The sequence below is a fragment of the Homo sapiens genome, chromosome 15 (genome assembly GCF_000001405.40).
Source record: "Homo sapiens chromosome 15, GRCh38.p14 Primary Assembly".
Lineage (NCBI taxonomy): Eukaryota > Metazoa > Chordata > Mammalia > Primates > Hominidae > Homo > Homo sapiens.
The window spans coordinates 89797975-89812509 of NC_000015.10; the positions used below are offsets into that span (position 1 = coordinate 89797975).

Genomic DNA, 14535 nt, shown 5'->3' on the forward strand with positions numbered 1-14535 from the left:
TATCCCCATTTTACAGATGAGGAAACTGAGGCTCAGAGAAGTGAAGTGACTTGCCCAAGGTCACACACCTCACGAGAGACAGAGCTGAGATTTAAAAGGGCAAGAAGCCCGTGTTCTTAACTCTGACCACCTCTTCTGACTTTCTGGGCACTCTAGGCCTTTCTTCCTCCTGCCTTCTGTACACATTTAGCTCACAAATGTCCTTGTCTGTGGGTGACATCACTCATGTCCAAGAGCTTAGAGTACCTCACCCCAAACAGAGTAGGTGCTCAATAAGTACCTGTTTATCCATACTGCATCCCTCCTGCCCTGTCCAGCCCAGATTTTTGGCACTTAGAACAGTGGCCCAGCATAGTCAGCCTTCAGGAAAAGCTTGGTGCAGCTGGGCACGGTGGCTCACACCTATAATCCCAGCTCTTTGGGATGGCAAGGCAGGTGGATCACCTGAGGTCAGGAGTTTGAGACCAGCCTGGTCAACATGGTGAAACCCCATCTGTACTAAAAATGCAAAAATCAGCTGGGCATGGTGGCACATGCCTGTAATCCTAGCTACTCAGGAGGCCGAGAAGGGAGAATCGCTTGAATCTAGGAGGCAGAGGTCGTAGTGAGCCAAGATCACGCCACTGCACTCCAGCCCGGGTGACAGAGCAAGACTCCATCTCAAAAAAAAAAAGCGGGGGGGCATGGCCAGGTGCCATGGCTCATGCCTGTAATCCCAGCACTTTGGGAAGCCGAGGTGGGTGGATCACAAGGTCAGGAGTGCGAGACCAGCCTGACCAACATGGTGAAACCCCATCTCTACTAAAAATACAAAAATTAGCTGGGCATGGTGGTGCACACCTGTAATCCCAGCAACTCGGGAGGCTGAGGCAGAGAATCGCTTGAACCTGGGAGGTGGAGGCTGCAGTGAGCTGAGATCGCGCCACTGTACTCCAACCTGGGCAACAGAGCGAGACTCCGTCTCAAAACAAACAAACAAACAAACAAACAAACAAAAACAAAAACAAAAAGCTTGGTGCTGTGGAGTAGAGGATGGCTTTGGAGTTGGACAAGCCTCTGTCTGGCTGTCATGAACTACTGTGTGACTTCGGGCAAGGTGTCACATTCTTCATCTGTGAAATGGGTGTGTGGGGACCCAGGGAGGGACGTCCAGGGAGCACAGGAGCTCAGGGCACAGCACGTGGCATATGGGAAGGGCAGCAGGAGGAGCAGGGGCCCTCATTGTGGACTCAGACTTGCTGAAGTCACGAGCTTCTGCAGCTGAGCCAGGCAGCGGAGCACTCACCTGGCCAGGTTGAAGGCGTCATTAATGATCTGTGCCCGATTGATGACAGGGATGGCCTAGAATGCGAAGCACAGCATGTGACCATGGGTTGGCTGTGGGTGGCAGGCCTTGCAGTCTGGTGCCTGTCCTGGGGCAGGGGGCAGGGCGAGGGGTGGCAGACACTCACCGAGTGGTCTCTCTGCAGCTGAGTCTGAATCTTCCTCCAGTTCTCTTCGTCGTAGTTCACCCGGTAATAGCCCGTCACATTGAGGTTCAGCAGGACCCACTCATTGCCTGATGTGCTGAAGAGATCGTTCTGGGCTGTGGAGAGGGACGAGACCTGGGCAGGGCTGCTCAGAGGCCATGGGCTGACCCCTGGACCTCTTGCAAGAGCAGCTGCCCCCGCAGCCTGGCACCACCTCACCCTCAAGCTGCTGGGGAGACGCTAAGGGTGGGGAAGGAAGGGATGAGGAACTGGGCTGCCAGTGGCTTCACAGACCATCAACCCATGAAGATGACATGCCACCCCAAACCTCAGAACCTGCCCTGCCTCCCTAGGCTCTGCACGGCCAGGCCAGCTGCCAGGCCGCTCACACTCAGCAATCCAGGCTGTTCCTCCTCCTTGCCCTCCTCCACACTCCATCACACCTGTCACCCAAGTGGGAACCACAGGCAGCTCCTCCTCTCCCTTCCCCTCCCATTCACCCAGACCCCCAGTGCTGCTGTCTCTTTCTGGGGCTTAGTGCCCCTTCCTCCCTGTGGGTCCCCCTCCTCCCTCACTCCTCTCATACTTTGTTTCAGCAGCCAGAGGTCAGGGCCAATAGGTTGCTCATTTCCCACCTGCCCCATCCACTGTCTCCTGCAGCCCCTGGGGCCCTTGGGGACCAGCTTTATCTCTTGGGCACACCTCTGCCCTAGCTACACTCAGTCCCCACACTCTCTCCTACCTCTATCCCTGGCACTTGCTATTCCCTTTGCCTGGAATTCTTTTCTCTGCCACATTAGCCTGTCTGATTCCTACTCTTCCTCTAAGACTCAGCTCACCTCCTCCGGGAAGCCCTCCCTGACCTCTCCATGAACTTGAATCTCCCTTATTCCCTGCTCCATGTCCCCATACCTCACTAGCCCCAACCATACACTCTGAAAGCACTCAGCACAGCACTAGAATGCCTCCAACTTCTTGCCTTCCTTCATCTGTAGCCTTGGCCAAGGCAAAGGATGACTTGTCATGCCCTTCGCTTCTTCAGTGCCTTGCTGAGTAGGGCTGCTCATAACATGTGCCAGGCACTACTTTAAGCATTTTATGTGGATTCTCTCCTTTTTTTTTTTTTTTTTTTTTTGAGACAGAGTTTCGCTCTTGTTGCCCAGGCTGGAGTGCAATGGTGCGATCTTGGCTCACTGCAACCTCTGCCTCCCAGGTTCAAGCAATTCTCCTGCCCCAGCCTCCAGAGTAGCTGGGATTACAGGCATGCACCACCACACCTGGCTAATTTTGTATTTTTAGTAGAAATGGGGTTTCTCCATGTTTGTCAGGCTGGTCTCGAACTCCTGACCCCAGGTCGCCTCGGCCTCCCAAAGTGCTGGGATTACAGGCATGAGCCACCATGCCTGGCCTAGGATTCTCTCCTTTAATCCTCACATAACTAATGGAGTATTGCTCTTAGCCTCATTTTATAGAAGAGGAACTAGAGACCAGAGCGGGATGGTAACTTGCCCAGAGTCACACAGCGAAGCAGCAGCAAAGTGGAGATTGGAACCAAAGAAGTCAAGTCCATTTGTTGAATGGAATGGCCCATCACAGCCCTCAGAACATGGGCCAGGAGCTAGGAGTATGGGGTGGGGGCTGCTGCCCATAAGGCAGGGCTGGATTACCTCTTACATCTATCAGCCAGTAGTCCTGCTGCTGTCTGCCATCTCTGATGGATGTGATGGGCACAATCCACACGTAGCTGCAATTAAAGATCCAGAGGTGGTGAGAGATGGCGGTGTGGTCACTGCCAGTGAGGAGCAGCTGCCCAGGCTCCCAGCTTCTGCCCAGCTCTGGCACCGAGTGCCCCTGAACTCCTGGCTCTGGAGGGAGGGTCTGTCTACAGTGGCTGGGGCTGGGACCACAGGAGGCCAGTCCTACTATGGTCCCTTAGTAACTGCCCTCTACCCCACCCACCTGACCATGCCTCAGTGACCCCATCTGCTCACTTGAATTCTGAGGGGCGGGTAACATTGGAATCGGGGTCAAGGAGGAAGTGCTCCTGGGAAAGGGTCCCCGTGCTGGTATCCACCGTGATGACCGGGAAGCCCATCTGCAGGGTCCAGCGGTTCATGATGTCCCGCACGGTGGTGGGGAGTTGGATGGACCGGTTGTTCACAGCCTGTGGGTGGAGCGAGAGGGCGTGGCCATCAGTGGGACCCTCCAGTCCCTGCCATCCAGGGCATCTCCTGCAGATTCTCGCCTCGACCCCGGGGGGCCACTTGTATGGGAGGCCTGGGAAGGGCACTGGGCTGGGAGCCGGGAGCCAGGGTACCGTCCAGCTCTGCCTCTCCTCGGCTGCTCAGTGCTGGACGAGCTGGAGAACTTCCCAGCAAATCTATGAGGCCCTCCATTCTGTGGTCCACCCTGAGGTGTGTATGTCAGGGAGGGGGTGCCCAGGATGCCCATGGCTCTTCCTGAACAACACTGGGAGGAGGACAAGAAAGAGGAGACAGAGATGAGAGAAAGCCAGTGTTCAGGTGTCACAGGCAGGGGTGGGGGACGGGGCCCTGGGGGTCGCATGAGGGAAGTGCACTCGGACTGGGGTGTGGGGCGGGACTCAGGGGCACTGTTGTTGTCTTCTTGTCTTCTTGGATCTTTGCTCATGCACCTGCCTTGCCTTTGTCATCACAACAGAAAGCCAACCCCATTTGTTAATAACTGAAGAAAGGAATCACCTAAGAACGGGGCCACACAGAGGGCAGAAGAGCATGTGGGGAGGAACCAGCTGGGGGCTGCCGGCCGAGGGTCTCAGGAAAGAGGAGTGAGAGGGAGGAGAGCTTGGCTTAGGAGGGAACGCAAAGGGGAAGTTGGGGCAGGGCAAGGAAGGTAGTGGGGGAGACCCAGGCAATGACAGTGTCATTTTGTCAGCAGCATCTTGGGGTCTAGGGGGTTGGAAATTGCCCAGCAGGGACCCGGACCTCAGCTGTGACTCTGTGACAAGATCCTGGGTCTCGCTTCCCTGGTGAGACAGGCCTGGACTGGAAGTGCAGCAGCAACAGTGGGGTAGAAGCTGGACGGGAATTTGAGGCTCGGAACTCTGGAGGGGCTGTCGGTGAGGAGAGGACATGTCTGTCCTCTGGCTTAAGACGCTAGCATTGGGCAGAGCTGCAGGGAAGGGGTAGGGGGCAGCTGTCAGGGAAATGATGTCAGCGGAAATGATGGGGGCAGGATGGAGAGGAGGTGGACTCCAACCCTGGGGGAGGGAGAGGAGCGGCGGCCTCTGGGGGAAGGCAGGAGGGTGTGGCAGTCTGGGGATCTGCCCTACAAACAGGGGCTGTGCGGGGTCTGATGGAGAGGAACTCGAGCCGGGGCAGGGGCAGAGGGCAGAGTTCCTGCTGAGGGTGGTGGAGCTGTGTGCAGAGACATGCCCGTGGCGCCAGCGGGGGGCACAGGGCAGCCAGGAGTGGGGAGAAGGTTGAATGTCAGGCTCCAGAGTTCCAGGCAGAGGCGGGAACCATGAGGGCAGTTTCCTCACCACCAGGAAGGGGCTCTACAGCTCCCATCAAGAAGCCCGCTGTAGCCTGAGGTCAGCTGCTGGCCAGGACCTCAACCACAGCCTCACTCAGACACCTCTTGCAAGGAGCCATCCCGGCTTCCACTATAGGGAGGAGCAACAGAGGCTCCATCCACCCTGCAGGGCTGGTCAGCCGCGGAGCTGGACCCATTCTCTTACGCATGTGCTGCCCCCAGGTACCTTCAGCATCTCAAGACCCCAACAGGATGGCTGTGGAGGGGCTGGCTGCTACTGACCTCCTGCAGGTGGTCCCACAGGTTCAGGTAGATGGTGTTCTGGTAGGCAAAGGTGTGGAGGTAGGACTGTGGAAAGACGGGGCACAGTGAGAGCACAGCTGGAGCCCCCCAGGCTCCCCCTCTGTGGTGGGCAGAGGCCCGGGTCAAGGGCGAGGGGCAGAAGGAGACCCACCCTCATGGCTGGCCCAGGGTGCAGTACTCACCGCCAGGCCCTGCTTGAATACGTCCTCGGACAGGAAGCTGGAGAGCATCCTGAGGACTGAGGCGCCCTGGGGTGGGGGTGAGGGGGCGCTCAGAAGGCTGTGCAGAGCCACCAGGACCCTGTGCCCCCAGACCCTGCCTTCAGTGAGGCCCCTCCAGGCCAAGTCCCCACCTCCTTCCCCGTGCCCCACGAGGAGCGGGCTGCACCTTGCTGTAGGAGATGGCGTCAAACAGCTCACTGATCTGGGCCGGCGTGTTGATCTCCGAGGCGGGTGTGGACAGCGGGTGGGAGGAGGCCAGTGCATCCACTGCCATCACGCGGTACACATCATTCAGCACCATGAGGTCTTTCTGCAAATTCCCCAGGGCCATCAGGAGACTGGCCTGGTAGCGGTGGCCCAGGTCTCCCTCCATGCCCCCCGCACCAGACCCCTGGGCAGCTGGCTTACCAAGTTCCAGGTGGGCTCCGCATAGTCAGCACCCAGGTACTCCACGTAGGAGGCGAAGCCCTCGTTCAGCCACAGGTCATTCCACCACTCTATGGTCACCAGGTTCCCGAACCACTGTGGGGGGAGGGGTCAGCTGGGCAAGCCACGCCCAGGCTGGGCACTGAGAATCCCCAGAACTACCCTCCCCAGGGCTGGCCATCTGCCAGGCACAGTGGGGATTTCAACACCATCGTGACCCCTTCCTGCTGCCCTGCCAGGCGGCACCCTCCTCCCTTCTCAGCAGCCCGGGGCAGAGCCTGGACTTGCGCCGTCTCCTCTCGGAGCCCCTGTTTCCTTCTCCGCACTCCCCGAGATGGGGGTCTACCTGGTGGGCCAGCTCATGAGCAATCACAGTGACCACCCGCTCCTTGTTGCTGCTGGAGGAGGACAGGGGGTCGAACAGCAGGGAGTTCTCCCGGTAGGTCACCAGTCCCCAGTTCTCCATGGCGCCGGCGTTGAAGTCTGGCAGGCCAATCTGGTCTGGGGAGGCGATGCCATTGGCAGGATGAACTCCGGGAGTGGAGCTCCATCCACTGCCTCCCTCCTCAAGGACCCCCACTCACCTGATTTTGGGAGTGGGTAGGGTGTGTCATAATGACCAGCAAAGAAGTTAAGGATGGGGCCCGTCACGTTCAGGGCATAATCGCCGTGGCCCGCCGCAATGGCACTGGGCCGGGCCCAGATCCGGATCTGCAAGGTGTGAGGAAGAAGCAGACCAGGGGCTCCTGTTTGATCCTGGGGCAGGTGGGCTGGGTCCCAGGGCCCAGTGGGCTGGGGGGATCCCTGATGGGCCAGGGCTGGAGGCCAATCAAGCTAAACCTAGAGGCCTGGTCAGCAGAGGGGAACGCTACTGGGGTCTGGAGGCTGTGGGTCCTAGAGAAGGGCCTTTGGAGAATAACAATCATCATAGCCACCGTCTGTCTGGTAACCGGTGGGTCAGGAACTCCCTTCATGAAGAGAAACCATTGTTTTCATTTTTCAGGTGCAGAAATGGAGAACCAGAGAACAAGACACTTGCCTGAAATCACTCAGAGGTGGGATTCCAACCCTGGCCTAACAATTCAGAAACTGGCACAGGGATGAAGAGAACGGGAAGACCCCTCAAGCCGGGGCCAGCCCACGTGAAGGAGAGATGGGCCCAGCCTCATACCAAGACACCATTGGATGCCTGCTTCTCCACGTAGTCGAACTCACTGACAATGAAGGCCAGCAAGTACGTGGACATCTTGGGCGTGGTGTGGAACTCAGTGACATTCCAGTTGGGGTCTTCTGGAAGTGGGGTGCTGGGACCTGGGCAGGGAGCATGTGTGTGTGAGGACGTACCCTCCTGCCCCACACCCCAGCCCAGGGTGCCTGCCCCCTGGCCCTGTGGCCGCAGGCAGGGCCCACTCACCTTTGGGAAGCATGTTGGACAGGGCTGTCAGGTCCTTGGGGTGGATAAGCGTGATGTTGAACTCGGCCTTCATGGCCGGCTCATCGAAGCATGGGAAGGACTTCCGGGCATCTGCAGCCTGCATCTGTGTAGTGGCCACCACCCTGCCCCAACAGGAAGGTTAGAGGGTGTGCCAGAGCTGGGGGTGTGGGAGGGGCTCTGAGGATGCTACCAGGCATGCAGGGAAAGGGGTACATGGAAGGCTGCCCCAGCCTAACCCCTGCTCCTGCTCCCACCCCCGCCTCGCCGGGAGCCTCCGGAGCCCTGCCAGGCCAGCTGACTCGTGGGGGTTGGGGCTCCTTCTGGATTCGGGGTGCCAGCAGGCTCTCAGGGACCTCGGGTGAGTTTCTCTCCTCTGAGCCTCGGTTTTCCTGTCTGTCCAAGGGACGCTCTGTCCCTCATCCCCAGCTCCCTGGTGAGGGGTGGGGAAGCCCTCCCAGTTCGGTGCATTTGCAGCTGCTTTGCCAGCAGCTGGAGGTGAAGCAATGGGCCAGTCTCGGGCTCCACAGGGTTCAAAGGCCTGCAAGCTAAGTCCTTCCTTGGCCCTCAGAATCCAGCCTTGCCTCAGCACCTCGGATCCACCCCACCGGGCAGCCCAGCCGGAACTCACTTTCTGACATTGCCCTCCATGTACTCGCTGCGGTAGAAGCCCGCCAGGTCATCTGCCAACTCCCCCTCGAACTCGCTGTCCATCTCATACTGGCTGTCCTTCACCAGGGAGCCCTTGAGGTGCACCACCAGGTACTCGGTGGGCTCCACCAGCTCAGTCTTGTCAATGTCGGGGGGCTGGGAGCCTCCCACACCACGCAGGACCACCCTGTGCCCCTGGCTGAGGGTGTAGTTGAGCTTCTTGCTGTGGATGATGATGACGTCAGTGGCCTCCTTGCAGGTGAAACGGACGGTGCTGGAGCCCTTAAAAACGTACAGGCCCCTGTCATTGGGGGTGAGGTACGGTCTCAGCGTCACCCGGTAGGAATCGGGTTTCAGCGTGTTGGGGAGGCGGTAACGATTCCACGCTTTACTTTGGTCCAAGGTGGTGGCCGAGGCGGGGTTGGTGGTGGCTGAGGCGGACGGGGTGGTGGAGGCCACGGGGGAGCTGTTGGCGTTCTTGTTCTTCTCCTGGGAGTACACCACTGACAGTGCGATGATTGTGCACACGGCTGCCACGCCCAGGAGGATCCCCAGGATGCCCAGGGACTTGGAAATATAGAAGCCCTTGGCCATGGTGATGGTGGGGAGGCGGCTCAGGGAGCCTCAGGCCAGGCAGAGAACGGAGCAGCCCCAGGCCGGGCTTATATCCCCAAAGGGGAGGAGCCCCACAACAGGCAGACTGGGCAAAAATTAACCAGGGCTCCAACAGGCGAAGGTCACTGGACTGGGCAGGGGCACGCTCCGCCTGGGGAGAGGAGATCCAGGAACGGTGTGTGGAGCTGGGCTCGGGGGGTGCCTGCTGGAAGCAAACAGTGTCTGGTTACAGGCTGCAGGCGGCCTGGGATCAGGCCCGAGGGCTGAAGGGCAGGCTTCCGGCTGTAGGCCCAGTGGGCAAAGCAAGCGGCCAGGTGGCATTGCATTGATCTGCTTGAGAGCTGAGAGGGTGGGAACAGCATCAGAACTGAGGTTAGAGTCAGGGAAGGACTTCCCAGGGGCAAGAGGTGGGAGGTGCACAGAGAAGGGGTTCCCGGCTCCTATTAAGAACACACTGGGGTCACCCCTTTGGTTGCATCTCTGGAAGGATGCCAGGGGCTCCTCAGTGACAAGGTCCCAGCCTCCCTTGCATTCTTCAAGAGCAGGGAGTTCCTCCAGGTTCCCCTCCCTGCCGCTTCTTGCCAAATACTTTTTCCTCCATTATCAGCTCACGGAATAAAATGAAATGAGTTGTTTTGCTTTTTTTGCTGAAGGCTTCACCTCTTTCCAGCTGTGACCTTGAGCAGGTAACTTTACCCTTCTGAACCTCTCTCCTCATAAATAAATAACAGTATTTGCCTCTCAGGTTTGTTGAACAGATTTAGTGAGAAAACATATTAAACACCAAATAGTAGAATGATTAAAAATCATTCCCGGCTGGGCGTGGTGGCTCACGCCTGTAATCCTAGCACTTTGGAAGGCCGAGGTGGGTGGATCACGAGGTTAGGAGTTCAAGACCAGCCTGGCCAACATGGCGAAACCCCGTCTCTACTAAAAATACAAAAAAAATTAGTTGGGCGTGGTGGCGGGCGTCTGTAATCCCAGCTACTTGGGAGGCTGAGGCAGAGAATTGCTTGAATCCGGGAGGCAGAGATTGCAGTGAGCTGAGATCGCACCACTGCACTCCAGCCTGGGTGACAGAGTGAGACTCAAAAGAAAAAAGAAAAAAATCGTTCCCTTCTTTCTTACCCAAAGCTCAACAATTGCCTCTTTCTATCCTTGGTAGAAATGAAGATATTACTTACCATACAAAATAAAATACACACCTTACAGGAAAATTATGTTCATTGTCACTTTCCCCATCCACCAGCCCAGTTTCTCAGACCTCGACACCGCCTGACCTCACTCCACATCCAATTCACCCACATTCCCCCATCGCAAGATGCACTTGGTCAAAACCATTCTCATCATTTATGTGGACACAGCAGCGCCCCTATGGACTCCCTGCCTCCATTCGGGCCTGCTTGAACCTGCTCAACACAAATTGGATCATTTTATGCCACTGCTAAAAAAAACCTTCCTTTTGCTTGTAGAGTCCAGACCAGACCTTCTAAAGGCACCCACAAGCCCGGGTACAGTCAGCCTGCCCATTTCCTGGCCTCTTCCCCCCTGTTGCAGTACCCCAGCCACTCTGGCCTTCATCAAGCCCCAGGGCCTTGGCACAACCTGTTCCCTCTGCCTGGATCTTCTCTTCCCTATTGCCTTGGTTAATTCCTTTCCATCCTACAAGTCTTCCGCAGCGAAGCCGCCCTGACCTCCCTGACCAAGTCAAGCTCCTATGAGCTCCATTAGCTCCACAGACCTGTTCTGCAAAGCCCCAGAACTCAGCGTGGTTTTCCCTTTGATCTGTGTGGTGATAACTTGAGTCCTGGACTGCAGGCCCCATGACAGCAGGGCCTCACCAGCACTTAGCACAGTGCCTGGCACACAGTAGGTCCTCATTACTGAGATGTTGAGTGGATGCGCACATGCACGAAGGATTGAGTAAATGAATGAATGAGTCAGTCCAGGAGAAACTCCTTACCAAAGTCTTTCTGGCCTCTGTCTCCCAGCTTGTCCCCACCCCACACCTGCCCCCAGAAGAAGTGCCTGCCTCTTCTGAGCCCTTCTCCAAGCATGGCAGGCAGGCCGGACTCGTGCCAGGCCCCAGCATGTCAGGGCCCCACATGCCTTCCTGCTCCCTCAGCTCTGCTCCCTGAGGGCCTCACTCGTCTGCCACCCCTGCCACCCCTGCCACCCCTGAGCTTGCAGGAAGGCTTCTTAAATAAATGCAATGTGTGAACTGAAGGGACACGTGGATTAGTTCAATCAGGCATAAGCAAAACACAAATACCTGCCGCCTCTCGTCTGGTGTATGGAGGCCGAGTCTGAGCCCAGGGTCTTTAGGGGAGTCCTGGGTGCCCACCTTTGAGACTGAGGGTGTTCTGAGCCTTTGGCATTTCCCCAAGGGGCCTTGGTCTGGGACCAGGATGGACCTCCCACTGCAGTGACTAGCAGACACCCCATTAGGCTTGGGTGATGACCCCAAGGGGCAATCGTGCGAAATCAGGTGTCAGGAAGGGCTCCAGCTTGGGCGTGGTGAGAGAAGGAGCAGTGGCTCCCAGCACATGCTGCCAGGCTCCTCCCATCAGGGTGGATGGAATTCGCCAAGGGAGCCCATCTTTACAGCACCCCCCAGGCTGGCACTGGGGCACCATGCCTGCCCCTGAAAAGCCTTTTGATATGTCCCTGACGGAGCCTGCAGCCCCCTCCCACCTTTGCAGCAGAAAGACCCACAAGTCGGCCTGGACTAATCCCTTTTCTAAACAAAGAAAGAGGCCCTGCCTGGCCCACCATACTCTCTTCCTGTTTGCTTTGGATTCAGACCATAGGCCCAGCTGGCTGGAATCTTTACTCTTCTGGACAAGGCCTCTGGTCTTCCAAGTTGGTGCAGCAGGTAGCCCAAAGTTGGCTCTATAATGAGAGGTCCCTGCTCTAGGCACCAGGCCAACCCAGGCTGGGGGCACAGAGACAGCCATGCTCTGCAGCCCCCACCTTCAGGAACACACAAAAGGGCTTCCCTCGTCCAGTCCCCTGCCACAGCCCAGGCCTGGCCACCTCCACACCCCATCGGGCAGTGGCGGCTATGCTACCCTCCCCTGTCACCCAACCCCACCAGCACACGTCAGCAGAGGGCTCTGCCTAAGAGTGTGGGTGGGACTCTCCCATTCAAACCTGGTGCCCAACCTGCAGAGTGAAACCTTAACTCTGGCTTGGGCCTTAATACCTTCTGTGAACTTGACCCTCTGGCCTGTCCTCTTTCTACTGCCCACTGTGGCTCCAGCTGCCAGCGTCTCCCCAGATCATCGGGGCTTTTTCATACCTCTGTGACTTTGCTCATTCTGTTCCCACTGCCAGGAATGCCTTTCCTCTCCCTCTTGTCAAACTCCTACTCATCCTTCAAAACCCAACTCAATGTCACTGCCTTATCATGCACACCAGCCCCCACTCCCCTCTGCGCTTCCCCAGTCTCCAGTTCCCACCTCTATCACAGCACTTAGGAAAATGCCACTGAGGCTGAGCGCGGTGGCTCATGCCTGTAATCCCAGCACTTTAGGAGGCTGAGGTGGGCAGATCACGAGGTCAGGAGTTGGAGACCAGCCTGGCCAACATGGTGAAACCTCGTCTCTAATAAAAATACAAAAAATTAGCTGGGCATGGTAGCAGGTGCCCGTAATCCCAGCTACTCAGGAGGCTGAGGCAGGAGAATCGCTTGAACTCGGGAGGCAGAGGTTGCAGTGAGCCGAGATTGTGCCACTGTACTCCAGCCTGGGGGACGGTGTAAGACTCTGTCTCAAAAAATAAATAAATAAATAAATAAATAAATAAAAATACAAAATTAGCTGGACGTGGTGGCGCACGCCTGTAGTCCCAGCTACTTGGGGGGCTGAGGCGGAAGAATCGCTCGAACCCAAGAGGTGGAGGTTGCAGTGGGCGGAGATCGTGCCACTACACTCCAGTCTGGACGACAACAGAACGAGACTCTGTTTCAAAAAAGAAAAAAAAAAAAGAAAAAGAAAAATGCTACCAGTGTGTTCAAAAGCCTGCTGCTGCACCCAAGCACCTCAAAGGAAGGCCTGGTGGCATCGTATGCCCCTCCATGCCCAGCACAAGGCAGGAGCCCAATACATGTTGGCCAAATGAATGACAACACCCACAGTCCTTGCCGTGACCTACAGGGCCTGTGTGATCCAGCCCCCAGTGATTCTCTGGCCTCATCTCAAACGCTCTCCCCTGTCACTTCTGTGCTCCACCCCAGTGGCCTCTTTCAGTTCAAATCCAACCTGCTTTTCCCCGCTTCATTCTCCCTTCCTCCCTACACACAAGCTGATCCTTGGGCCTGGAAAGCTTCCTGCCTTTGCTTCATCCACTCCCCACTTGCCCTGGAGACACAAGTCAGTGGTGCTGCCCCCAGGCAGCCCTCCAAGTGCCTCCATGAGGGTAGCACCAGGTGTGCCGTATCCTCTACACCTGGCGTGCAGTGGGAGGGCAACACGTGCTTGTGGAATGGGGCATCAGTGCAAGAATGAGAGACAGCAGTTAAGGATGGAACTTCAGAGCCTTGATCCTCGGGACAGGTTCCACCCTCTCTACCCGACATTCCTTCCTGGGCTTCTGGGCTGTGCACAAACCACCTTCGTGATCCACCTTTGTGATTATTTACTTCGTATTTTTCTTTAAATCAATTCACTTTCTTAGCCTCCTTCTGAGCGATAAAATCATGGTTGGATGTGTTAATTTATATTAACAATTCATGACTATTGGTTTAAAAATTGTTCCTGGGCCGGGCGTGTTGGCTCATGCTTGTAATCCCTGCACTTCGGGAGGCTGAGGCGGACGGATCACGAGGTCAGCAGATCGAGACCATCCTGGCTAACACGGTGAAACCTCATCTCTACTAAAAATACAAAAAATTAGCCGGGCGTGGTGGTGGGCGCCTGTAATCCCAACTACTCGGGAGGCTGAGGCAGGAGAATGGCATGAACCCGGGAGGCGGAGGTTGCAGTGGGCCGAAATCGTGCCACTGCACTCCAGCCTGGGCGACAGAGTGAGACTCCATCTCAAGTAAAAAAAAAAAAAAAAAGAAAAAAAGAAAAAATTGTTCCTCTAGGTAGCTCCTAAAAGGATCCTGTCCAGTTGCACCCGCTTTGGGAACTGCTGCTCCACCCTGTATGATGTTGGGGTTGCTGGCCCTGCGGGTTGTCTTTGGTGCAGGCTCTTTCTGCCAGTGAGCAAAATGCATGTGTTCCTTTCGCTGTGAATTTCTTGACGGGGTAGAAGCCGAGCTCTCAACCCACTTCAACTAAAGCAGCCTTTCTATGGGTTTATGTATTTCTTCCCTGCCTATGTTTTAGTCCAGAAAACGTAAGTTCTTCTAAACTAAAACCAAAGCCAAAACCAAAAAACATGAAGGTTGACAACGATCATGCCAGGGCATAACTAAGTCACAGTCACAGTGTGGAAGACACCCACACTTGTGGGTGGGGAGAGGCTCCTTGGTCTCAGATGTGAAGTGCAAGAGGCTTTCTACTCTAATATGAAGACTCCAGGAGCCTGGGAGGGGCTGTGGCCGGGAGAGCTGAGCACCCGTGGCCGGGTGAGCTGCTGTGTTATCCATGCTCCATCCCCGACCACTGGGTCCTTGGGTAGGCCCCACCCACTCCCACTCAGTGTCCCTGACTGTGAACTATGAGACTGGGAGCTCAGGGACAACCTGGGGCTCATTGTCTGCTCTGAGGGAGCAGTGAGCGAGAAGGGTAGGGACGAGGCTGGGCCTGGGCCAGGGCACACTCTGTCCCCGCAGGCCCCTGGCTTTCTCCCAGGCTTCTGAGGCCTCCGCCCATAGCTGCATCACCCCAGGGTGCTTCCTCTGGGAGCCTTGGACATTGCCCCTCCTGCAAGAACCTCAGAAGGCCCCAATGGGAAG

At 56.7% G+C, this 14535-nt stretch overlaps 1 protein-coding gene across 3 annotated transcripts in view, besides 15 other annotated features; it reads right to left on the reverse strand.

Annotated features, from left to right (window-relative positions):
* ANPEP (alanyl aminopeptidase, membrane) overlaps positions 1 to 14535 on the reverse strand; it is a 29958-nt gene that overhangs the window by 13080 nt on the left and 2343 nt on the right. The window contains exons 2-14 of one of the 3 annotated variants that reach the window (NM_001150.3): positions 7996 to 8832; positions 7347 to 7489; positions 7104 to 7243; positions 6517 to 6643; positions 6279 to 6433; positions 5915 to 6028; positions 5673 to 5816; positions 5468 to 5533; positions 5265 to 5330; positions 3461 to 3633; positions 3137 to 3213; positions 1452 to 1585; positions 1286 to 1341 (exon numbers count right to left, since the gene is read on the reverse strand). In NM_001150.3, coding sequence (NP_001141.2) covers positions 1286 to 1341; positions 1452 to 1585; positions 3137 to 3213; positions 3461 to 3633; positions 5265 to 5330; positions 5468 to 5533; positions 5673 to 5816; positions 5915 to 6028; positions 6279 to 6433; positions 6517 to 6643; positions 7104 to 7243; positions 7347 to 7489; positions 7996 to 8609 — 2009 coding nt within the window. In that variant the 5' untranslated portion in view covers positions 8610 to 8832. Of the gene's footprint in view, positions 1 to 1285; positions 1342 to 1451; positions 1586 to 3136; positions 3214 to 3460; positions 3634 to 5264; positions 5331 to 5467; positions 5534 to 5672; positions 5817 to 5914; positions 6029 to 6278; positions 6434 to 6516; positions 6644 to 7103; positions 7244 to 7346; positions 7490 to 7995; positions 8836 to 14535 lie in introns of those variants that run through there. The other 2 variants (NM_001381923.1, NM_001381924.1) reach the window with 2 other exon arrangements.
* Positions 5964 to 7163: an enhancer, noted in NCBI's record as "CDK7 strongly-dependent group 2 enhancer chr15:90347169-90348368 (GRCh37/hg19 assembly coordinates)". NCBI's record gives its function as "activates an origin of replication core promoter dependent on BRD2, BRD4, P300/CBP, MED14 and CDK7 cofactors, with strong dependence on CDK7, by STARR-seq in HCT116 cells {active_cell/tissue: HCT116}" and the evidence as "EXISTENCE:reporter gene assay evidence [ECO:0000049][PMID:35650434]".
* Positions 8562 to 10354: a promoter, noted in NCBI's record as "1.8 kb SacI/BamHI fragment used in the hAPN transgene". NCBI's record gives its function as "drives ANPEP expression in transgenic mice {active_cell/tissue: kidney | small intestine | liver | lung}" and the evidence as "EXISTENCE:transgenic organism evidence [ECO:0001131][PMID:15840518]".
* Positions 8610 to 8724: a promoter, noted in NCBI's record as "-115 promoter fragment used in the -115 or 115/luc reporter constructs". NCBI's record gives its function as "drives ANPEP expression with reduced activity compared to the -153 promoter in transfected KS1767 and EOMA endothelial cells {active_cell/tissue: KS1767 | EOMA}" and the evidence as "EXISTENCE:reporter gene assay evidence [ECO:0000049][PMID:14507917, PMID:17897790]".
* Positions 8610 to 8762: a promoter, noted in NCBI's record as "-153 promoter fragment used in the -153 or 153/luc reporter constructs". NCBI's record gives its function as "drives ANPEP expression in transfected KS1767 endothelial, EOMA endothelial and HepG2 liver cells {active_cell/tissue: KS1767 | EOMA | HepG2}" and the evidence as "EXISTENCE:reporter gene assay evidence [ECO:0000049][PMID:14507917, PMID:17897790]".
* Positions 8610 to 9618: a promoter, noted in NCBI's record as "1 kb BstXI fragment used in reporter constructs". NCBI's record gives its function as "drives ANPEP gene expression in transiently transfected NIH3T3 fibroblastic, KS1767 endothelial, EOMA endothelioma, 1F6 melanoma and HUVEC epithelial cells, and in stably transfected EOMA cells {active_cell/tissue: NIH3T3 | KS1767 | EOMA | 1F6 | HUVEC}" and the evidence as "EXISTENCE:reporter gene assay evidence [ECO:0000049][PMID:1675638, PMID:12406907, PMID:14507917, PMID:17897790, PMID:16685268, PMID:11157481]".
* Positions 8613 to 9004: a promoter, noted in NCBI's record as "-350 to +43 fragment used in the pGV-B-APN reporter construct". NCBI's record gives its function as "drives ANPEP expression in transfected Caco-2 intestinal cells {active_cell/tissue: Caco-2}" and the evidence as "EXISTENCE:reporter gene assay evidence [ECO:0000049][PMID:10623580]".
* Positions 8678 to 8683: a TATA box, noted in NCBI's record as "TATA box motif conserved in mammals". NCBI's record gives the evidence for it as "EXISTENCE:sequence similarity evidence [ECO:0000044][PMID:1675638]".
* Positions 8697 to 8729: a protein binding site, noted in NCBI's record as "-120 to -87 oligo that competes out c-Maf binding to a 153 bp probe in epithelial cells". NCBI's record gives its function as "binds c-Maf in KS1767 endothelial cells {active_cell/tissue: KS1767}" and the evidence as "EXISTENCE:protein binding evidence [ECO:0000024][PMID:17897790]".
* Positions 8710 to 8713: a transcriptional cis regulatory region, noted in NCBI's record as "bases mutated in the mutant -113 construct". NCBI's record gives its function as "positively regulates activity of the -153 ANPEP proximal promoter in transfected EOMA endothelial cells {active_cell/tissue: EOMA}" and the evidence as "EXISTENCE:site-directed mutagenesis evidence [ECO:0005528][PMID:17897790]".
* Positions 8723 to 9004: a transcriptional cis regulatory region, noted in NCBI's record as "-350 to -68 region present in the pGV-B-APN construct but absent in the delta pGV-B-APN construct". NCBI's record gives its function as "ATBF1-mediated negative regulation of the -350 to -68 ANPEP proximal promoter in transfected Caco-2 intestinal cells {active_cell/tissue: Caco-2(+ATBF1-A)}" and the evidence as "EXISTENCE:reporter gene assay evidence [ECO:0000049][PMID:10623580]".
* Positions 8725 to 8743: a protein binding site, noted in NCBI's record as "Ets-binding oligo". NCBI's record gives its function as "binds Ets factors in KS1767 endothelial cells {active_cell/tissue: KS1767}" and the evidence as "EXISTENCE:protein binding evidence [ECO:0000024][PMID:14507917]".
* Positions 8725 to 8762: a transcriptional cis regulatory region, noted in NCBI's record as "38 bp -153 to -115 sequence present in the -153 construct and absent in the -115 construct, and also deleted in the delta38bp mutant 1 kb promoter construct". NCBI's record gives its function as "positively regulates activity of the -153 and 1 kb ANPEP proximal promoters in transfected KS1767 and EOMA endothelial cells {active_cell/tissue: KS1767 | EOMA}" and the evidence as "EXISTENCE:reporter gene assay evidence [ECO:0000049][PMID:14507917, PMID:17897790]".
* Positions 8737 to 8740: a transcriptional cis regulatory region, noted in NCBI's record as "bases mutated in the GGAG mutant constructs". NCBI's record gives its function as "positively regulates activity of the 1 kb ANPEP proximal promoter in transiently transfected KS1767 endothelial cells and stably transfected EOMA endothelial cells {active_cell/tissue: KS1767 | EOMA}" and the evidence as "EXISTENCE:site-directed mutagenesis evidence [ECO:0005528][PMID:14507917]".
* Positions 11349 to 11493: an enhancer, noted in NCBI's record as "145 bp enhancer 170 fragment used in the MPRA reporter construct; PK_construct_1033". NCBI's record gives its function as "activates an SV40 promoter by MPRA in HepG2 cells {active_cell/tissue: HepG2}" and the evidence as "EXISTENCE:reporter gene assay evidence [ECO:0000049][PMID:23512712]".
* Positions 11416 to 11427: a transcriptional cis regulatory region, noted in NCBI's record as "FOXA motif; enhancer activity is reduced when this motif is scrambled". NCBI's record gives its function as "necessary for full activity of MPRA enhancer 170 in HepG2 cells {active_cell/tissue: HepG2}" and the evidence as "EXISTENCE:site-directed mutagenesis evidence [ECO:0005528][PMID:23512712]".